The sequence below is a fragment of the Homo sapiens genome, chromosome 8 (assembly GCF_000001405.40).
Source record: "Homo sapiens chromosome 8, GRCh38.p14 Primary Assembly".
NCBI classification, from domain to species: domain Eukaryota; kingdom Metazoa; phylum Chordata; class Mammalia; order Primates; family Hominidae; genus Homo; species Homo sapiens.
The window spans coordinates 15,793,353-15,817,361 of NC_000008.11; the positions used below are offsets into that span (position 1 = coordinate 15,793,353).

General features: G+C 39.9%; 1 protein-coding gene and 1 pseudogene across 3 annotated transcripts in view; one reads left to right on the top strand and one right to left on the bottom strand.

Moving 5' to 3' along the window:
• The window catches only part of TUSC3 (tumor suppressor candidate 3), a 434,904-nt gene that overhangs the window by 376,165 nt on the left and 34,730 nt on the right, over window positions 1-24,009 (top strand). For 2 of the 3 annotated variants that reach the window (NM_001413684.1, NM_001413679.1), the window contains one exon: window positions 13,011-16,319. The exons of the other annotated variant lie outside the window; for it this stretch is intronic. In NM_001413684.1, the coding sequence (NP_001400613.1) occupies window positions 13,011-13,167 (157 nt within the window). In that variant the 3' untranslated portion in view covers window positions 13,168-16,319. Of the gene's footprint in view, window positions 1-13,010; window positions 16,320-24,009 lie in introns of those variants that run through there. 3 annotated transcript variants of the gene reach the window in all.
• PPM1AP1 (protein phosphatase, Mg2+/Mn2+ dependent 1A pseudogene 1) lies at window positions 12,985-13,979 on the bottom strand (annotated as a pseudogene).

Genomic DNA, 24,009 nt, shown 5'->3' on the forward strand with positions numbered 1-24,009 from the left:
TCCACTCCTTTTCCCCTGTACTCCAGCCTTGCACACAGCATAGCACACTTCCACCTCAGGGCCTTTGCACTTCTTATTTCTTCTGCTCTGACCTATCTTCCCCCAGTTATCTACACAGCTCACCACTGACCTCTCTTCTTTGTTCCCATGTTGCTTGTGTGATGTTCCCTACACCCTGTGTAAAATCCCCACTGTTATTCTGCCATTCACTCTCTCTCTTGCCAGCTTATTTTTCTGTACAGCATTTGCCATTATTTGAAACAGCACTTTGTTTATTTATTTACATAATGTATAGTCTGTGCTCCTACACCCTACTAGAATATAAGTTCCATGAGGGCAGGATTTTTTATTAATGCATAGCTTCTTTTGGGGTTTTATTATTGTTTTATCCCCAAAATGTGGAACAACACCTGGCACATATAGGAGCACATATAGGGTCTCACTAACTGCTGAATGAACTGAATGCATGCAAGCATAACTAGTCTTGTTAGAATCATGGGAAGGAACATTTCAGGCAGATGTCATAGGTCATAAAGTATCTCCATAATGGGGAAAGGCTTAGTGTGTTTGAGGAAACCAAAGGTCAGTGTGGCTAGAGCAAAGTGGGAAAAGAGAAGAGCGCTCCAAGATTCTGCCTCCTAAAGAAGAAAGAGTCAGATGACAAGTACCTTTCCTTGCCCCAAGTGTTGCCTGCCATATCCTGATGCTTTTCTCCCTCTGATGGATGAATGAACTGTACATTTCAATTGCAGCACTTCTAAAACACAATACATTCTACTATGTAATGCAGTAGAGAATTAAACTTAGGGAATCTGCTCAGGACCTCAGCATCATTTGGGCCTTTGAGAAACACTCTCTTCTTGGTCGTTTTTTGACTCTGACTCATCCCGTTTTTTTGAGGATCCAGCTTTTTTTGAGGATAAGTCTTTCCACAATAACACAGCCACTCTTATTTTCTCTAGTAAACTTCACCCTAGAGGGGTGACTGTTGGGCCTTCCATGTTTCTAACTGGAAAATCAGAGTGCATTTTTACATACAAAATTGATGATTCCTCCCAAATAGAGGGATAAGTCTAACATAATTTGAATGCACTGGAACTTATTGTCAAGTACTATAAATGGTTTGAGATTCTTTCCTACTTGCAATCCGGCAACTTAGCTGGCCACCATTTCAGGAAGGTAGGTAAAAGCCATTAGATTCCTTGTTAGAGATAAAGGATGGTTTATTACTTAAAGCAATAGCATAGCCAGAATAACAGGATTTTTTTTCTGGTTTCATAAATGCCAGTTCTTAGGCAGCAACACAAAGAGGGCCCAATGACACCTGCATGTGAGTGTGCTGCATTATAGGAGAGGAAGCCTAATAATGCTTTGGGAACCCAAATTTTTTATAATTGATAGTAAGCACATTTGCCCTTTGATCCACAGGGGGGAAAATACCTTTATTATACGAGACAGCAAATACGTCTCTCCTTTGCTCTAGAGAGACGAACTATCTTCCATGGCTATTTTCTGGACAAACATCCTCTAAAAGACAATCCAAAACAAAGAAAGTCACAAGATATGGATAAATGTGAGAATCCTGTGATGGGTTATCTCCCAACATCTGCCCCTTGCTTCTCTACCATCCTGGATTCTGATGAATTTTCCATGAGTATGCCACTCTAATAACTACTGTAATTAATCTGACGGAAAGAGGTTGGAACACATTCTTTCAATTTGTCTTGTGTAGTATTTAATTGAGGCTATTACCAACAAGATTCCAAGCAGCAGTAGTGACCTCAATCATGGCTCCTGGGATCCCAGGCCTAACCAGCTAAACAAATCCCATAAACCATCAGTTTCTGTATCGACCTTTTCACTTCACCCAAGGCATTAATCCAAGTATAGCAGGATGCATTAGCATTTGCAAAGACCCTGCCTTGGCTTGCAAGCAGAAAATGTAGGACAATTGTATAATCCATAACAACCCTGGCCAGTGAGCTGAAACTGATTTTATTGTCTTCCAGGGCAAAGTTGGCACCACTGATCACTTCAGCTAAAATCAGGGACAAATTTTGTATCACCATTTCTAATTGGAGGACTTCCAATGCACAGATAACTGCCCACACGTTGCACATTAAAAAATGTGTCACTTACCCCTCCAGGAGACTCTTTGGATAAACTAATGAGAGCCTCATTTTGGAGGGATCTTTGAGGTCATCTGTGAACTTTCTTATGACCACCAGAAGGTATGAGTCACCGTGTTTTCAAGAAGAGAGTAAAAAATGCGTGGCTACACACAAGAAGCACAGTTCTCACGAGGACACAGAGTCCCTGGAAAGAAGGCATTGTTTACATTCGTTGGAGTGCCCCAGGTAGTACCCACATCAGTTTTTGGGCAAAAGTCCCGGGGCCTCCAGTGTGGCTGCCCAAACGGCTGGTAAGCCCTGGCATTTCCAGATCAGTTTGAGTAATGCAGTCAATCCTTATTTTGGAGGGACTGCATGAGGTCAGCCAGTCCAATCTGTCCTTTATATTCATGGAGAGCATTTGTCTACCCCCCAGAATGCCACAGGGTCAGATGATCAAACTCAAACAGCCACAGCGGAACCTAAATTAAATCAAGAGTGGTGAAGGACCACCACCACCTGACTGCTTAGTGTAGGCTTCCAAGAATGTGTTTGTGCCATACCCCAAACAATGTGGCCTTACCCTCAGGTAAGCTGTTTGTTCAGCTTCTGGCAGGAGTCCCAGGTCTGGCTTGCATGGTGGCCTCTGCATCAGAAATACAGGGTCCTTTCCTTTGTATCCAGTCTATGTCGGTGGATATGTTAGCATGCCTGATACAATGATGGATTCAGGCAGCCAAGGTAACAATCTGGGTGGTGCAAGCTGAGTCAGCTGCTTACTTCCAGCTGGTCTTACCAGAAAACAGACTCATGTGGTGTATCTAGGTGAGTGGTCCACGTGTTTTGATTAGCAGCTGTGAATTACTTTCACAGTTCTTGATCCCAAAGAGGACATATGGAATCTGTCAGTCTGTGGTTTTCCAAGTGGCATGCCAAACACCTAGGCCACTGGGAACAGCCTAAGAGTCAATAAAAATGTAACAAAGTTCACCAAGGACTATACTGGCCAGATCAGTGAGAATGGCCTTGAGCTGTGCCCACATACTTGAGAGAACCACATTCATTTTCTGCATAGCTGCCACTGAGATTCAACAGCCCCAGCAGCCTTGCTGATATTGTTGTAATTCAACTCAGCCAAACCATCAGTGAACCAGCCATAGGCATTTAGGGGACCACTGTGGACTGAAGGCTCCACTGAGGTAGCAGCTTAGCCTCAGGTGACAGAAAGGGAGACAAAGTTTCTACCAAAAAGATAGTTACCATGTTGTATGTAAAGTTGCTACCAGGATGCTAAGATACTGCTCAGGCCAGCCTGGATGCATTCATAAATATGCTGCTTCCTTTTGCCAGCCAAGGCTCGGTGGGCCCTTCCCAACTTGTCATTGATTCCAAACAGACCCGCCCGCTGCCCAATGTGGATATCAGACCAGCAAGTCACAAGGCCTCAGTAGGTCATGTTTTTTATGTCAGAAGCTGCTTTATAAAGGGCGTTATAATTTGCTACTTGGAGCCTCTGGTAGAGAAGCTGTCTGCATTCACCGTTCCCATTGGGGTCAGGACTTACCCTCTCCCTAACTGCATCGTCTGTCTCAAGAAGAGGACAAGTCCAGACCCTAATGGGCACCTCCGAATGGAGGCAGCTTCTCTTTATCAGAGGCACAAAGTAGCAAATCACTGGTCACTCAAGATGGAGTTAAGCCTGTGAGTTCCCAAAATGGAAAGCGTATTTCAGTTCGCTGAACAGCTTTCAGTGGAGACTGTTGGTTTGGGCCCTATGCAAATTATGATTTTTGGATAAGCCAATATAAAGGACAAGTGGAATGCCCAAGAGAGGTACATTCTGTCTCCAATTCCTAAAGAGTCCAGCAATGTGGCATCTTTTTCTTTTTTTCTTTTTTTTGGCTTTGAGGTCTGATGAGACAGCAGTCTTCCTTGATGCCAGAGGGACTTAGCACTGTGAATCCACCCACATGGTTCCATAAAAAACTTTACTTGGCAAGCAGTTCTTTTGCATTTTTTCAGGATTTATCAGTTACTTTTGCTAGAGGAAGTGTGATAATGCCACAGTCAGGGCCACTGAGGATGAACATTCTGACTTGGCAACATGACACAGATAGGAAAAACATTGGAAATTAAAGAACAGAAGCACTCGTGCTAAATCCTGACCTGCTCCTTGTGGCAAATGGCAGGGAAGTTTAGGCAACAGTCGGGGAGTACAGCAACCATACATTGGAGACCTTACCACATGAATGAGAACTATTCTAGATGCCTTGGTGCTGGGCCTATGTCAAAATGGGTTTCAGCAGTGTCTAAGACAACACAGCAAGTGCTATCAATCTGTGTAATGAATTCAATCACCTTTGCAACATCCGCAACGGCTGACGTGTTGGGAGCAATAACTGAATTCAAGTTGATGACTCCTGTGAAAATCCAGTCCTGTTAGGTTTTTTTTTCCACCGACTATATAAGGCTGTTGTATTGGGCTAATGCATCTCTTACTATTCTTTCTACCTTTAAGTCCTTCAACAGGCTATGATCTTCCTTTCCCTAAGATGCTATACTATGTCCGATAGAACACCTAGGAGAGGAAAGAAACATAAGGTACGGAGCTATTTCTATGTCCCACTAGGGGTTCTCTACATGTGGCTCTTCTCAGTCAAAAACATTGCCTCTGGCAATATGGGACAAAGAAGTACAATCATATAACACATCAGTGTCTACCGTACATTCATATGTGGAAGCATCAACAACAGAACATTGAATAGACCCTTAAGGTCATGTTAACCTTCTTTTCGCACAGTGAACACTTCCCCAACCTCATGAGCTGAATCTAGACCCATTTTCTTTCACGGGTCTGCATAGGCTAGTTCCCTAAGTGCCCATATCCAAAAAGCCATAAAAGTTTGAATCCTTCCCCTTTTCAAAATTCCCAAACTTATTCCAGTAGGTGGATATAACCTTTGATTCCACCTTAGAAACAGACTCAACCCCACCTCTAATCTTCTGTCTCCATAAAGTCGCTGAGATCGGGGTAGAGAAAGAGTGAAGGATAGTACAGAGAAAGAGGGAAGCTCTGTGTAAGCGACTTCACATTTACCTTCAGTTTTGAGCAGCGTGGCGGCAGCTTTGGTTCAACCAAAGGAACTGCAAATTTGTTCATCCCAGTCAGTACTCTCCTGGGTGTGTGGGGGGGGTCCTCTTATTTACACCATAAGAACCCTATAACTCATCAGCAGTCACACTGCTTTCCAGCCGGGACCACTAGGTTTGCATCCTCGGGCCAACTAAGGCTTGACTGGCTCTTACAGGGACAACATTTTAAAGGAGTTCACTTTAATGTGGGACACCTGCAACTCTATTTCCATGCTAGTATCACTTAAGCTCTTGCCTTATTTCCATATAAAGACTAGGGAAATTTTCCATGGTGATGCTGCTGCCCGCAGGAATTTATCTAAATTTCATTGGGTCAATATCTCATTCTCCAGTGGGTCTCCTATATCAACATTGTAAATCCAATCAGGAGCAGTAAGACCAGAATACTAGTCAATGTCTCTTCTATGGTTTCTCCAAGAGTTTAACTATATCAAGAAATCTCCTTGACAAGGCTAATGCTCCCTTATAGCAGCCAGGATGCACTGCAAAACAAACAACAACAAAACCCAAAACAAAAACCAACCACTCTAAGTCCGTGTAGGGTTGTCTTAAGTGGATCCACAATTAGCCTGATGGACTGCAGGAGGCATTGAGCTGTAAGATGGCCCAGCTGCTACCATTCCTCCTTAGCACATGTCTCAAGGGAACCAGCCAGCGCTCTAACAATTATCCTAGTTCTGCCCAGAATAATGGTCCCAAAGTTTCCTCCTTTCACACTCAGTATAGACATTCAGCTATAAAACTGTTGTCAGAAAGGGGTGGACATTTTTGCTGGCCTAGGATGAATCTTAGTACAAGTTGCTATAATTCAGTGCACCGGATTGACCACCAGTTTCTCAAGGAAGTTCCTCTGCCTGGAGGAGTTGACAACAATGACATACTATTTGTTAGATGTTTTGAACCTGCTTCCTGGTATTGTCAGCTGTGACCCCCTTCCCAGTTTTTCCTCGTCAGTGGGCAGTGGTGAAGTACTATTTATTGTCCAGCTAACCATACAATTTGGTCAACATATTTACTACCTATTCCCATGGACTTTTCTCAAATCTTGTCCATCAGCCCATAAAGTCCTCATTCTTTCTCTTCTAGAAAGGCATGACTTTTTCAGCATCCCACACTTAATGCCAGAACTGTCAAGGACTATGAAGGGTCTGAAATCTTACTCTAGTTGCAAGCTAACAAGTGTGCCTGCCCCAGTTTCATGGATGTCGATAGACCTCATAAGACCCCAGGTCATAGATGAAAGACAATTCATCAAACAACAGCAGCAGCCAGAACATGTGCATGTTTGTGCCAGTTTCCTGAGCTCCAAGTCCCACAGGGCAACACAAAGAGGGTCAGATGGCCCCTGCACATTCAGTAGGTTGCACTACAGGAGAGGACCCTGAGAGCTTTGGGAACCCCAATTGTTTATAACGGGCAGCAAGCATGTCCAAGGGGACATAACTCCTCTATCTTCCAAAGTTGTAAGCAAACTTATCCTTTGTTACAGGGGAGACACTACCTCTATATCCATAGCTGCTCCTTGAATGGATAGTCCAGAACACAGGGCAATCAGTGCCACGCTCACAAAACATAGAGAAACTTACATAAAAGATTCATGCCAAATTTGCTCTTTGTAGCTTTCTTCTGATACCACCACTTGACAACATCATAGATGACATTTTCTCTCAGGCTGGGCATGGTAGCTCTTGCCTGTAATCCCAGCACTAAGGCTGGGAGGCTAAGGTGGGCAGATTGCTTGAGTCCAGGAGTTTGAGACCAGCCTGCGCAACATAGTGAAAACCCGTATCTACAAAAAATACACAAATTAGCCGGGCATGGTGGCTCATGCCTATAGTCTCAGCTACTTGGGGGGCTGAGGTGGGAGGATCACTTGAGCCTGGGCTGCTGAGGCTGCAGTGAGCTGAGATCATGCCACTGCACTCCAGCCTGGATTTTGGGAGTGAGACCCTGTCTTTAAAAAAAAAAAAAAGAAAGAAAGAAAAACATTTTCTCCTAGGGATGAGCAGATTTCAGAGCAATACTGATTTTATGACTACTTATCCCTGGTCTGTGCTATCTGCTCACCTGTCAGCCTGCTCTGCAGAATGTAGAAATATAAAAAGTGCCTTCTTAGTATTTTATGCATACTGAGACGTTCATGGCACAGCTATAGTAACACCCTTTTTCAAACACAAGAAATATGCAACATGTTCTTAACTTGCCACAGTTTTCATTGTCTTCTATTGGTCTCCCTCCACACCCTAAGGTTCTATAACATGCTTGTTCTGAAAACTCCAAGCAATATGGCTAGATGCTTTTCTGGTCACTTAATCATCTATACAACAAATATTTATTGAGCTCTTATTACATGCCTGCACTATTTTAGCTGTTACAAGAAAGGGGTCCCGATCCAGATCCCCAGAGAGGGTTCTGGATCTCACCCAAGAAAGAATTCAGGGTGAGTTTGTAAAGTGAAAGCAAGTTTATTAAGAAAGTAAAAGAATAAAAGAATGGCTACTCCATAGACAGAGCACCCACAAGGGTTGCTGGTTGCCCATTTTTAATGGTTATTTCTTGATTATATGCTAAACAAGGGGTGGATTACGCACGCCTCTCCTTTTTAGACCATATACGGTAATTTCCTGACGCTGCCATGGCATTTGTAATGGATACATTTTTACTATTTTCTTAGAGCTTAAATCCTGAGAGCATTTTTGGGAGATTAGTGGTATGGAGTTGAGGGGCTGTAACAGGAACAGTTTAAAGAATGCATCAATGTGTGGGGTGGCTGAGAGCATGTCTGCTGAAGCTGTCATATTTGTGTGATGAATGAGTTTCACAAACTGTTTGGAGAATTCATTGGGCTCCATTGCTATTTTTGTTAAAACTTTTTAATTAGTAGCCTTGAGAAAAAAAAAGAGAGAAATACAAAGTGACATGTCCATTTTTGTATCTTGTGTTTTTTCGTAAATGTGATGGCTCAGTGTCTGTGGATGGCTGGGTAAATTGGAGGCAGTATATGGCAGGCAACTTGATCAAAAACCCAGAGAAGCATAAGGATGAAAGCACCATGAGGGTTGTGAGAGCTGTATGGGGCTGGGTGTGGCAGTCCATGTAGAACGTACCCTTGCTGGGCTCAGAGGGGTTCTAGAGCTGCAAGAGAACCTCCTGATACCATGGGATGAGTTTTCTCTCATTTGGATGCTCTTGTAGCCGGGTATAAATAGGCAATGCTGTTCAAGAAATTGAATCAACAAGGATCCTGAAGGCTATCGTGGGGATTTTGAAATGGGAGAGAGGATTCAGAAATCCTGGTGAAAAGGCATGAATAGCTGCAATTAGATTTGCTTTTAGTCTCTTAGCTTTTCCTATCAGGTCCTTTGGGACCTTCACTTCTGACCAGCTGTTCTTCGAGAAGAATCTTGGCCAATATTTAAATGGGAGAGGGTGTGGAGCTGGGAAGCTGCCGTGCTGTTACACGTGACTCTTGTTCCGTTCATGCGCCTGTGAAGACACACCACGTAAGAGTAGAAAGAGGGATGCCCGAGACTTTGGTTTTGGAAGATGATTCATTAAACATATTTTAATCTGCAATAGAGAGTCGTGCTGTAAGAGTCACTGGGTGAAATCCCACCCACATTATGGGCATGAAGAGCCCTAAATAATTATCAGGAAATTAACATGCCTTCTTTCTTGTCAAAACATGAGCTCTTAATAAATGTTTTGCTTGTGCATGGTGCTTAAGTAAATTACACTGAGATTGAGCTACTCCTCAAAGATTAATTATGAAAATTGTATATAGGAAGAAATATAAATAATTGCAAAATTTCTTTTCTTTTTTTGAGACAGAGTCTTGCACTGTCGCCAGGCTGGAGTGCAGCGGCGTGATCCCAGCTCACTGCAACCTCTGCCTCCCGGGTTCAAGTGATTCTCCTGCCTCAGCCTCCCAACTAGCTAGGATTACAGGTGCACGCCACCGTGCCCAGCTAATTTTTTGTATCCTCATTTTTCCTCAAGAGGGGCATGGCTATAATTCATCTATTGAATAAGCAAACACAGGATTAATTACTTTTTTTTTTTTGCCAGAAATATGCCCCTACTGGTCATATAGTCCATCTGTGACCAGTCTAAGGAACATTAATCAGATAAAAGAAAAAATTCATAGGTAACTCAAATGAAGCATATCTTCTCAAAAGCAAAGCCATTTGTGTAATCAAGTACCCAGAACGTGGCTAAATGTAGCAGAAAATCACTAACTGCGTTCATACTCGGTGGTCATTCCAGCAGAAAAGTTTTCTTAAAAAAATCAAGAGGCATATACAATTAGTAGGTGTATACTATGTCACCTGCAATAACTGCGGCATAAAAAGGATTTATTTTAGGTAAACGTGTGATTCAGTAAACAACTTATGGTAATATTGGCTCAAAGAAGACAGAGAATTAAATATAAGACCAAGGTCAGTGTTGATGTTCACTCCTCTCTTCTAAAAGTTTACCTTCATGAGGTTAGTTACCTTCATAATGTTGGTCATCATAACCAGTGCACGAAGTGAACAGTGAGGGGTGAGTCATTTCCAAATTGCCTAAAACGTGCTTTATTAAAACAAATAGAATTTATCTTTCCGGCAATGCAATTTTGTGGCAATTTTTCATCATTCTTTCCCAGGAAAAAAAATTAAAGCCTAATATTGCATTGAAATGCACACATATCTTAGTAAATTTAGTACTATCATCCTAATTAGACAGATAAGCATACATATGATGACAAAAATCAGTAACTTCTTTCAACATGCGCTATAATTTCTGAAATCAAAACATTTCCAATTGAAGATGAGAAAGGTCACATTAAGCAAGAACTAAAGAATTTAATATGACAACAAAATATATTTTTCTTATGTAAGGTTGAAATACAAGCAGAAAATTTCAGTAGCATAAAAGGTTAAATAGATTCATTTTTATATTTTACCTTAAGTTCTGGGATACACGTGCTGAACGTGCAGGTTTGTTACATGGGTATACACCTGCCATGGTGGTTTGCTGTACCTATCAACCTGTCATGTAGGTTTTAAGCCCTGCATGCATTAGGTATTTGTTCTAATGCTCTCCTCCTCTTTTGCCTCACCCCCTGGCAGGCCCCAGTGGTGTTCCCCTCCCTGTGTCTGTGTTGTTCAACTCCTGCTTATGAGTGAGAACATGGGGTGTTTGGTTTTCTGTCCCTGTGTTAATTTTATGAGAATGATGGTTTCCAGCTTCATCCATGTCCCTGCAAAGGACATGAACTCATTCTTTTTTATGTCTGCATAGTATTCCATGGTGTATATGTGCCACATTTTCTTTATCCAGTCTATCATCGATGGGCATTTGGGTTGCTTCCAAGTCTTTGCTATTGTAATTAATGCTGCAATAAACATACGTGTGCATGTGTCTTTATAGTAGAATGATTTATAATCCTTTGGGTATATATTCAGTAACGGGATTGCTGGGTCAAATGGTATTTCTGGTTCTAGATCCTTCAGGAATCACCAGACTATCTTCCACAACGGTTGAACTAATTTATACTCCCACCAACAGTGTAAAAGTGTTCCTATTTCTCCACATCCTCTCCAGCATCTGTTGTTTCCTGACTTTTTAATGATCACCATTCTAACTGGTGTGAGATGGTTAAATAGATTTTTAAAAAGTTTACACTCTTTACTCTGTTTATAGTTTGTTTTGCTGTGCAGAAGCTCTTTAATTATGTCCTACTTGTCAATTTTTGTTTTATTTACAATTGCTTTTGAGAACTGAGTCATAAATTATTTCTTAAGGCTGATGTCCTGACTGGTGTTTTTTAGGTTTTCTTCTAGGATTTTCATAGTTTGAGGTCTTACATTTACATTTTTCATTCATCTTGAGGTAAGTTTTGTATGTGGTGAGAGGTTGCGGTTATTCTTCTGCATATGGCTAGCCAGCTATTCCAACACCATTTATTGAATAGGGAGTACTTTCCTCACAGCTTATTTTTGCTGATTCTGTCAAAGATAAGATGGCTATAGGTGCACACCTTTATTACTGAGTTCTTTATTCTGTTCCATTGGTCTATGTGTCTGCTTTTGTACCAGTACCATGTGGTTTTGATTATTATCACCTCAGAGTATACTTTGAAGTTGGGTATTGTGATGCCTCCTCCAACTTTGCTCTTTTTGCTTAGGATTGTTTTGGCTATGTTGATTCTCCTTTGGTTCTATGTGAATTTTGAACTAGTTTTTTTTCTTCTAATTCTGTGAAGAATGAAATTGGTAGTTTGATAGGAATGGCACTGAATTTGTAGATTGCTTTGGGCAGTATGGCCATTTTAACAATATTGATTCTTCCAGTCCATGAGCATGGAATTTTTTTATTTGTTTGTGTCATCTGTATTTTCTTTCGACAGTGTTTTGTAGTTGTTCTTGCAGAAATCTTTCACTTCCTCGGTTAGATGTATTCCTAGGTATTTTATTTTTGTGTGTGTGGCAACTGTAAATGAGAACGTGTTCCTGATTTGGTTCTGGGCTTGAACGTTATTGGTGTATGGAAATGCTACTGATTTTCGTACAAAGATTTTGTATCTGAAACTTTACTGAAGTTGTTTATCAGGATCCAGGAGTCTTTCGGTGGAGTCTTTAGGGTTTTCTAGGTATATAATCATTAAGTCTGCAAAGAGAGATAATTTGACTTCTCCTTTCCTATTTGGGTGCCTTGAATTTCTTTATCTTGCCTGATTACTCTGGCAAAGACTTCCAGTACTATGTTGAATAAAAGTGGTTGAGAGTGGGCATCTTTGTCTTGCTGTAGATCTTAGGGAAATGCATTCAGCTTTTGCCTGTTTAGTATGATGTTGGCTCTGGGTTTGTCATAGATGGATCTTATTATTTTGATGTATGTTCCTTTGATGCCTAGTTTGTTGATGGTTTATTATGAAAGGATGTTGGATTTTATTAAGAGCCTTTTCTATGCCTATTGAGATGATCACGTGATTTTTGTTTTCAGTTCTGTTTATGTGACGAATTTACTGATTTGCATATGTTGAACCAATTTTGCATCCCAGGAGTGAAGCCTACTTGATCATGGTAAATTAACTTTCTGATGTGCTACTGGATTCAGTTTGCTAGGATTTTTACATCTATTTTCATCATAGATATTGGCCTGTGGTTTTCCTTTTTTGTTGTGTCCTGTGAGGTTTTTGTTTCAGGGTGAAGCTGGCTTGATAGAATGAGTTAGGGAGGAGTCCCTCCTCCTAGATTTTTTTGGAATAGTTTCAGTAGAATTAGTACCACCTGGTACTACCTAGAGGATCAAGGTATGTTTGAATTATGGTTTGAAATCATGTTTACTTAAGTGTCAAATTTACAAAAACAAAAAATCAGTTATGAGCCAGAAGTTGTACTGCTGAAGTTCTCTGGTGTGATCATTCTTACCCATGTCATATCCCCTTCCTTAAAGTTGAGGACGGATGTTAAAAGGTTCAACAAAGCTGAGCTGTACTCAGCTTTGGAGGTGAAGGTAAACTCCATGGCTAGATGAGCAGTTTTAGCACATAGCATCAGTTGATGTGGAGTCACTGTCATCATTTTTATAAAGATTCCGTCTTTTATAAATGGCTTCAATAACATTTTGCTTGTTTGCCAATTCACCTCCAGGTGGCAGTCTGGGGATGTTCTCATTGGCTAATGTGTACACCACATGGACTAAGTCAGGGACACCTTCCCCCTGCTTCTTTATGATTTCTTCTACTCTGCATTCCAGGTACTTGCCCAACTCTGCCTCCTTCTTCGCTGCTTCTGGTGATACTTTGGGTGCATTTGGAAACCAGAGAAAAAAATCACACACATGTTGTCTTGACTTCCCTTATGCAAACAGGTGTCGACTATTTCATTGTAAACTTTCTCAGGGTCATCAGTGACTTCAAGCCTGGATCTTACAAAATCACAGAGCTCTTCATTTCCCATAACATCCCAGATACTATCACATGCAAGGATAATGAAGTGATCATCTTCTTCAGATCTTTCAGTGTCATGGACTTCAGGCTCTGGTGAGACAAGCTGCCCAGTAGGACCTTTCCCATGGATACATTTGTAATCAAAATCCCCAAGGGCTTTGGATACAGCCAGAGAGGCTTTCACATGCTAAAGCATTACAGAGCCACCTGCATTCTGAATTCATTCTTTTTCTAGCGGATTTGCAATTTGTGAAGAAATGAACTTTCCTGTTCCTACAAAGTAAACGTCTAGAGTCTTCATAGTTAATGAAATAATTATGTTGGGGAGAAAGTAAGACGCTTACATCTGTTGACCCACTTCTATCTGCACCATGTTTCTTCTCTGACATAACTCTCGTGTTCATCAATCTCCAGGAAACCTGTTCTGATTCCATTCTTTACATTTTCCAAAGAAGGTGCTCCTGCAGACCCTGTAAATCCTGGTTATCGGCGATGTGATCTAACAAATGCTCACAGCAGTATTTGGCAACCTGAGAACCAGGATGCCCGTTATACACAGCAAAGAATGACCACCTTTCAAGTCCACTTGGCAAAGCAATCACAGCCGTATGTGCATCCTCCATTTCAATACGTCAACCTTGCATGCTGCGTAGCTCGTATCGCAACTAATTACCCCACCCCCAGGCATTATGCTCTTCCATCTTTGCTTGTCTAAAGATGGTCCCATTATGTCATAATCCTGTAGGTCTCTATTAAAAGTCAAAAATCATCAACAAAACCAAAACAAGTCAACAACCACAACAACAACAACAAAACAAGGCTGTGGAGAGAAGGCAATGCTTATACACTGTTGGTGGGAATGTAAATGGATTCAGCCACTGTGGAAAGCAAAGAAATTAAAGCTTTTAATGTCTCAAAGAATGTAAAACAGAACTACCGTTCGACCCAGAAATCCCACTACTGAGTATATATCCAAAGGAAAATAAATCGTTCTCCCAAAAAGACATATACTTTTATGTTCATAACAGTGCTGTTTACTATAGCACAGTAATTAACCTGGGTGCCCATCCGTGGTGGATTGGATAAAGAAAATGTGGTACATATGCATGTTGGACTACTAAACACCATACAAAAGAACAAAAGCATGTCCTTTGCAGCAATGTGGATGCAGCTGGAGGCCATTATCCCAAACAAATTAACACAGGAACAGAAAAACAAATACTGCATGTTCTCATTTATAAGTGGGAGCTAAACATTGAGAACTCATGAACATAAATATGGCAACAATAGACACTGGGGACTCACAGAATGCGGATGAAGGAAGGAAAGCAAGAGTTGCAAACCTAACTTTTGGGTACTACATTCTATATCTGGGGGACAGAGCATTTGCATCCCCAACCTTAGCATCGTGTGATATAACCATGTCACATACCTGTATATGTACCTCTATTGAATCTAAAATGAAAGTTGAAATTATTTTTAAAAACTTTATGCTAGTATAATTTTAAAGCATCCTACATATACTAGCTTTTGAACATATTATTACAGTACTCATATCATTTTATTGTAGAGATTAGGGAAGCTTTGTTTTCTGACCAGTATTAGAAAAGATTTGAGTAACAATTACCTGCAATCTTTAAGCAAACTTCTTTCACCTGGTATAATGTGTTCCTTAAGAAACTTAAGAATTTTTCAAAGACTTTTTGTTTCAAATATTGGTTATTATTTTAATACTAAATGTTATTTTAATATATTAAACATAAAAAGAATATAATTGTTTAAAAAATGCTCTCTCCAGAGCACTAGGAGATAAAATGATACATTTACTTATGTAACACTTTCTTAATATTCCTTTGCATTTTATTACTATCAGTGAGAGTTTTTGATATTGGACAAAGAAAGCTTAAGGGGTTAGAAAAGTTCTCTCAATATATATCTCTTGTTGGCCAATTCTGCTTCCAGCCTTTTAATGAGACTGTCCAGAATTATTCTCTTACCGAACATCTTTTCCTACTCTCAGACCTGCCATCGTTACATCTTCCACGAAGGTAAGAACATGGAAGACAGAAGCAGCCCAAGCATAAGTCTTTTATAGTTCCCAGGAGTAAGAGTGCCAGACATGTAGCAGGCAATTTGCCCAGTGGCTTCTCCATTTTTGACAATTTCTAAGCTCAGCTGTCAGTCAGTGTTAGCTTTGGCCTGCTGCCACCCTAGAAATTCTGCCTCATTCTGAGCTCTTGGTCACCTGGATTGCTAATTGTGCTTCCAGGGATTCTGAAGCTCCTCAACCTACACAGGTTGTCTTTTTTTAAAAAAAGATAACATGTATTTATAGAGTACAAACAAATTATACACACACACATATAATTAAGATATATATATAATTATAGCTATTTTGTATAGTATGTACAGTAGTACCCCTGTAACTAAACCCAAGTTTGGCTCCTCACTGCTTGAAAGGCCAAACTCAAGAGACAAGGGTTGGTGGGAGGAAAAGCACGTTTATTCAGAAAGCCAGCAAACCCAGATGATGGCACACTATCATGCTAAAGTACCATCTTAAGTCATTCCAAATTTTTGGCTCTTTTTATGTCAACGGCAGGAGGAAGATGGAGGGCTCAGGGCAAGAGGTAACTGATGACTGCAGATATCTGGGCACCAGTGAGGGTGTGAGGATGTTGGGAACTTCTTTTCCCTGGTCAGGTCACAGTATTTCCATAAATCTTTAACAAAACATAGTTACTTGTCCTTTAAACTCAGAGTTCTTTCTGAAAAACTACATGATTGCTGTTTTTGTGTATGATCTCACTGCTCTATAATTATCCTTGCCTATCTGTGGGAATAGGTAAAGGTCCCTTAAACAAAAATGAAGTTAGTTATGTTAGTTTTTTGCTGCTTTGGTGTTACACCTATTTGAGGTGGATACATTCCAAGACCCCCCCTGTAGATGCCTGAAACTGTAGATTGTATCTAGTCCTATATATGTTGTTTTTCCTATACATATATACTTAAAAGAAAGTCTAGTTTATCAATTAGGCACAGTAAGAGATCAGCAGCAACAATAATAAAACAGAATAATTATAACAATATGCTGTAATAAAAGTTTTATGAATGTAGTTTCTCTCTCTGTCTCAAAATATCTGATTGTACTGTATTCACCTATTTTCAGTGACCAAGGGTAACCAAAACTGTAGCAAGTGCAACCACGGATAAAAGAACGACTGTAATTATATTACTTAACAGTTCTCAACATTTGGCTTTCTTTACACTTGGCAATGCCAGACTTCTCCTTGCCTTAAGGAAAACATTCAGTCCTACATCCCTCCTATTTTTTAAAATCCTAATGCTTTTCAAACTCTAATATGCATACAAATTACCTGGAGAATGCACCTTGTTAAACCTCCTAGTTAAAATGCAAGTTCCAGTTAAATAGTTCTGAGACAGACAGAGATTCTGAATTTCTTACATGCTGTTGGATAATGTCTGTGCTGCTGGTTCAGGGATCACGCTTTTGGTAGCAAGCCGTAAACAATGGTTCTCATAGTGTGTCCTTGGACCAGCAGCAGAAGTATCACCTGCAGACTTGGGGGAAACGTAAATTCTCAGGTCCCACTCCAGAACAACTGAATCAGAAATTTGGGGGTGGGGCTCAGAAATCCATGATTTAATAGGTCGTTCAGGTGATTCTGCTGCCCTTTGTAGCTAAAGAACCCCTGGCTTAGAGTACTGCATGTTAAAATATTTCCTCCTTGCCAATTCACTATATATGAGATGTTGAATACTCTGGGGAAGAAAATCAAGGCCAGGAATGGTGGCGTATGTCTATAATCTCTGCACTTTGGGAAGCTAAGGTGGGAGGATCACTTGAGCCCAGGAGTTTGAGAGCAGCCTGGGCAACATAGGGAGATGTACTCTCTACAGATAATTAAAAACTTAGCTGGGTGTGGTGGCACACGCCTGTGGTCCCAGCTACTTGGGAGGCTGAGGTGGGAGGATCACTTGAGCCCAGGAGGTCAAGGCTGCAATGAGCCATGATGGCACTACTGCACTCTAGGCTGGGTAACAGAGCAAGATCCTATCTTGTGGCCAAGGAGGGGGGGCGGGAAAGAAAATCAAAATATTTTATCCCCAAATATATTTCTTTGACAAATTTTGAGACGGCTGCCACATGGCCAGCAGATTGAAGTCGCCCTGCAAAGTTGTCTTTTGTAGGGGAGATTTGCATCTGTAGAGAATCTCCGTTAAGGTCTTCCATTGTCCAAATACAGGAAAGAAGAGCTGAGAGTCTGACGTAAAGATCCGCAACATTTACCAGTATATACACCTACAGAGTCATCTTAGACAGGACCGCTGACACCAGGGAAGCAGGGCCCATCCAGGCAGATGCTGGGTGAGTAAGGAGACATGATCGTGTGGAGCTTATAGACATTCTCCTTAGATTACTTCCAGTTTCTGAGTTAAATAAGAAGCAAGCTCATCAGCAGAGAGTGAGGAAAGGAAAGAAAAGGGGGAAGCGTATGAGAAAATCATTTAGGAGACAAGGAGTGTGAACATGCTTGGGAAATGTCGCGTGGTTGTCTTGTAGCATTGAAGGACCCATTCTTGGTGTTAATTCTATTGATTAGGGTAAGCAAATGAAGCTAACAAGCAGCTCCCAAATCTCAGAGACATAACAAAGTGAAGGCTTTTGTTTTCCTCTCTGTTGTCACATTCCAAAGAGGTTTAGGGGTAGCAGTCGCTCTTCACATCGTCAATTGTCCACATCAAGTGTCTATAACTACATCCCCTCCACACCCTACTCCTAACCTCGAAGTCCACCAAAATTCCTTCACGATCATAAGAGAAAGACCCAGACAGTTTCACAGATGTTTAGGGGTCAAGCCCGGGGGTAGTTGCCACCTTTTCTGCCGACATTTCACTGACCAGAAATCAGTCCCAGGGCTTCAGCCAGCTGTCAAGGAGACTGGGAAAAGTAGTCAAGCTGTATTTGCAGAGAGCTGGATCCAACCAGAACTGGGGGTTTGCAGAACAGGCACAAAGAAGCAAGTGAAAGGCAAAGAATTAGTGAATGTGAGCGAACAGGTGAATATCAAAATTGACCTATGAATTCAATTTGGAAAAGGCAAATGAGGAGAGGGGTGAAGGAAGTGAATAGGTGGCAGGATAAATTGACTTTTTAAATTTTAAAGCTTATAGTGCTTTGATAATATAGTAAAGGTTAAAAGAACCATCTGGGGCTTAATTACATTTTTAAGTTTCCTTGAGGGCTGTCACATTTGTCTGAGTAGCAAAAGCCTGTATAAAATAGCCGAGCCAGTTCTCCAGGCACTGATTCTTGCAAGATTAAAAATAGAAAAGAAAAAAAAACAGTAATAAGTATTTGAAGAACGGAGGATTTTATGTTCTCTTTGATGACGATCAATTAAAATATTTTGCCCATGGTTTGTCATTGAATTAATCTGCATTCCTTTTATTCTCCAAAGAAATAGGACACACGATGCAAGACTACTTTTATTGGTTTTCTTGTCAAGGTTTTTGGGACATCCAACTTAGATGAGACGTTTTAATTGTATTGTCAGCAGGCATTAAAGTGCATCTTAAGTTGAAATGTATTTGCTGCCTTGACTATAAATCCTATAAACAAATAAGTACTCAATGTAAAAATATCTGTTTCTACAGCTAGAGGATTGTAGACTGAAAGGTTCAAAAGAATCACAAACAGAAAACATTTAGAAAGTGTTAGAGAAGGTAACATTCAGGAGGTTGTCTGTGTACGTTCTAACTATTTCTATGGGAGTCAAAATATGAAAGTGCACATATTGATAAAACTACCAGGACCATAATTTTGAGAAAATGGTTTTGATTTCAATATATCTATTTTCCTGTGAAGGAAATAGTCTCAGACATAGCAATAGGTAGATATACACTTGTTACTGCTGTAAAAATATGGCCGTGGTTGCAACCAATTAGGTCACAGGTTTCATCTACCTTAATTAATTTCTCACTGAGCAAATACATATACTCCTGGCCGTCTGAACTCAACGGCTGCCACTTGTCCCAAAAAAGGCAGCTTACTGGGGATGGAGGACAGTGGGTGTCTGGAAAACTCCCTATAGTGGAAAATGAACAGAAACCTATTGCTAATAGTACATGAGTGTAGATCTTTTCAACATGATATGCCTTATTCCATTGATTCCAATAGCTCACGGAATGTAACATATACCATGATTTTATATCATATGAAGAAAGAAAAAAATGGGCTGGGTGTGTTGGTTCACGCCTGTAATCCCAGCACTTTGGGAGGCCAAGGAGGGCAGATCACAAGGTCAAGAGTTCAAGACCAGCCTGGCCAATATGGCGAAACCCCATCTCTACTAAAAATATAAAAATTAGCTGGGCGTGGTGGCATGTGACTGTAGTCCCAGCTACTCAGGAGGCTGAGGCACAAGAATCGCTTGAACCTGGGAAGCAGAGGATGCAGTGAGCTGAGATCGCGCCACTGCACTGCGGCCTGGACAACAGAGTAAGACCACGTCTCAAAAAAAGACAAAAAAAATAAGAAAGGAAAAAATGCTGCCATTGATCCAGGACACAATGCTTTTGTATCATTGGGGATTTACATTTTATATTTGCTGGAGAATTTCACTTAGATGTAGACACTGTGTAATCAGCCAAGTAAAATGCAGTGTGGAACTAGACTGATTAAAATGTTTCTGAAAGTTCTTCCAATTGGAAGTCTGACTCCCCTGAAATAACTTTCAACTCAAGGCAGCTGAGTCCTCTGTACCATTAAGAGTATTGGTGATGTAGCATTTCTGAAACAAACAAACAAACAAAAAAAAAAACAGGCACACCTGTCTCTGCCATCTCTGGGGTTTTCTTCTAAGCTTGTAATACCATCCTGTAAGTTCTGATACTGGTTCTTTCCTGAGCTTACTAGAAAGTACGAGGTAATCATAACCACCTTACAACTTGATGACAGCAATGGGAAGATACTGTAAATTTTAAGGCACATTTTATTCTAGAATAAAAATGATAAGAAATGTTAAGAATGTATATGATTCTAAGAAATGTGTCATTTTTATATATTAATCTATAAAATATAATGTGGGGAAATGTAATCATTTTAACTCAACAAGTTTGCATTGAGCTCCTTCTGTCTTTACACTCTTGGGATGGATCAAGATAGCTTATTAACCCTCATGTGAAAGAGGTTTTTTTTTTAGCCATTCAGTGTCATTCTTCAATCATTCAGTCTTAGTGCTAACCATCGAAGTATTACGTTGAGGCAGTGGGATGAAGTGGTGAAGATCACAGTCTTCACAGCCAGTCTGCTTGAGTCTAACATCTAGCTCCACCGTTACTAAGTTTGCGACATTGAGCAAGTCACTTAACCTCTGTGTGTCTGTTTCTTCAAAATGATAGCATCTACCTCACTGGGTAATTGTGAGGACTAAACAAGCTAATAGCCATTAAATACTTAGAACACTGCCTGGATGTAGAGTACTTCTGTATTATTTATCTGTATCTTGGAAACTTCATTTAAATAATTTACACATTGTTGTGACATAGTCTCACATAGCATCAGCAGGTTTCTCTTACCAGAATGAAGAGATTAAGAACTCAATTTAATGTTTGACTTACCTGTAGTTATATTCAGTCTTTCTGTGATTGAGTGTATGTGTGTGTGTGTGGTCTTCCTACTAAGTTCCATGATAAAACAGTAACAATATCTTTTTTCTAGAAGGAGGAAGACATAAGCGCACCAAAATAAATTTATATTTTTGCATTACCTGACTTCTTGCAGGAAAAAAATCATATTTGAATATGAGTCACTAATAGAGAAGTGAAGGAGATGCAGTTTTCAATCTACTAAGATGTAAACATAGATGCCTGATTTTAAGCTACTCCAACGCAATGCGTTGCCAATATGTATACATTTGATTCAACAATTAGTACATTTTCTAGGAATTTTGTGCTACTGCACTTTAGGTGATTGAATTTGCTTAAGTTCACAAATGTCTCTTTGCTCAGGAGTTGAATGAAAAATATATATTTATGTTCACACACAAATACCCGCATAATATTAGTCTTTTATATTTGTTTCTATTATCTAAAGAGTTGCCTTACCCAGAGTTTTTCTTTTGCGCAAATGAAAAACTTCAGCTGACCTGTGGACTTAGAGATTTACCAATATTAAATATTTTTGAAGTGTGGAATCTTGTGAAATAACCTACTGCACAAAAATATTCATGAATATCTTGCCATAGGCTGAAAACCAGGTGATCCAGGATTCAAGTATATAAATGTTGATTGCCTACTGTATACTTCATAGTAAAGTTCCTTGCATGCTAAATGTTGCTGAGTACGGGAGAAATATAAAACATGTTGGCTACAACAAATTGTTTGTTGTTTAGTTGATAGGAAAATACAACATGAAACAAGATACACACAGACACAAATTAAATGTTTTTAAAGGATATAAGTAACGAGATATAAGTAATGAGACAATGTAGTATATAAGTAATGAGATATAAGTAATGAGACAATGTAGTGTAATAAAATGTATTAATTGAATAATAAACTGCTAGTAAATACTTGTACATAAAAATGTTAGAAGGCAAGTGACTGCAAGACTTCAAGGAAGGTATTGCACGAGGTGGATATGAAAGATAGATAGACTATTAATAGAGAGATCGAAGGGAATTCTAATGGGAAGAGCAGGAACAAATCTATAGACATAATCATGGAAGGTTCTTGGGGGGCAGGATAGGGAAAGATAGTAGGAAATCAGCATCCTGAGTCAGCTGGAGTCCCTGGGGAATATAATAAGTGATATTTAGTCTTAAAAATTGAGTCAGATTTTACAGACTCTTAAGAAGTAGATGTGCTTTCATTGAATACAGGAGACTATTAGGAGTTATTAAAACTTCTCCAGTGGGCCAGGAATAGGATAAAGCTCAAGCCAAAACAATATGTAGGAGAAATTCATGCAGAGAAAGGAGAGACAGAGGAAGAGTAATTAGACCTGGAAACAGAAGCATCTGTCAGCGATCTCTGCAGCGCAATCTTTACCTATTCCCAGGGCAAACGTTAGACAGAGCTCTGACTTTCTAATGTTCAGCAATTCCCATCTCTTATGGCATTCTGTCTCTTCTTTTCTTGTCCTTTGAACAATGAGTTCAAATCTCTTGATTCAGATAAATTACATTTTAGTCCCTTATTAGAGAACTTGCAGACAGTATCACTAAATGTTTTCTAAAGGTGAGAGCTACAAACTACAGAATTGCAAAGTTGGCATTGTTTCCAGGGAAAATTCCAGAATAAATTATCATACAGAACAATTAATACAGTAGAAGTTCTCTGTAAGTGCCAACGAGGGCCCATAAGTAGCAATTAATGGGACAAACCTAATTGCTTTTTCTGGCAGGGTTGTCAGAAGAAGGAGGAAGAGGTACTAGATATATTAAATCCAAATTTCAGTGAGGCAGTTTACCCAGTGTATTGTGTGAGCATTCAACATGAATGGCAGTTAAGATGGATGACCCTCTTTCCCCAGTTAGCAACTGTCTTTGGACAAATGTAACCTGGAGGGAGGTTTAGGAGCTTCTATAAGGCTCTGTCTTTGGCTGTCTTTATTAATGAGTCAGATTCCTAAATTATCTCAAGAGATTTAGATAATGAAGAGAACTGGAGATGGGTTTGCAGAGGGGATAGTGGAAAGGCTCATTCTTTGAGTTGGGCCATCCATTGCATGAGTATAATCTGTGAGTATTAAAATACTGAGGAAATAATGGAAGGGGTGGCAATGTAGGCATTTTCACTATTCTCCTGAGAACAAATTCCCAATTTAGGCCATTTATTAATAATTCTGATAGTAAAACTCTTGACAATACATTAAGAAAAAAGATATTATGGGACAAGAAAGATATTTGAAGCATCCTGGCATAGGTGACTGCCAGCAATGAGTAGTGGAAAGGGTGACTCTTCTATCCCTGGGAATTTCTGGACTTTATTGGGTCAACCTATTCGAAGACTTAATTCGTAAGACGATGTTGCCCAAACTACCAGTTCATTCATTACAAGCTTTTAGGGCAAGGTTTTTAACTACGTTTTTGTTTTTAGTACCTAGAACAAAAGACATTCACATGCTCTCAAATTACACCTTTTCCAATAACCAAACAGCCCTCACAGAGAAACGGCATGTTTTTACACCTAGCACATAATTCAACGTCATACAAATGATACAATGTAAGTAACTTCCAATAACAGTTTAAACCAAGTATGTGCTGATAGCAGCATTGGAGTTCATAGCGCCTAGCAGAACCAGCTCCCCAATGTTTCTCATGAAAGAGAAAAAGTAAATTCATTATTTCTATTTTTGCCACTCCAAAATGTCCTTCCTTTATTTTGTTGCAGGATAAAATATAAGATGTGAAGGCCAGAAACTGAAGTTACTGATTAGTAATTTGGAACTTGCTTTTTAAAAAAAAATCATGTTAACTCCAGCAGTAATTTCCGTACAGTCTGGTCGTTATCTAAAAGGGACCATCAGTCACTGCAGACTACTCCTATTAATGAAGGCACCAATGATGTTTCTCTTTTTTAAAAACTCAGGTAGGTTTTTCTCTGTTATTTGAAAGCACAACGTAGTGAAATAAATAAGCACAGCTGTGAAACTATCAATCCATATTTAGGTTCTTCATGGTATGTGGTGGCTGTCCCACTTACTCTCTCCACCACCTTAGAACTTTGATTTCTGAACAACCAGAGAAGAAAGAAATTAAGACTTGAAAAAAAAAAGAA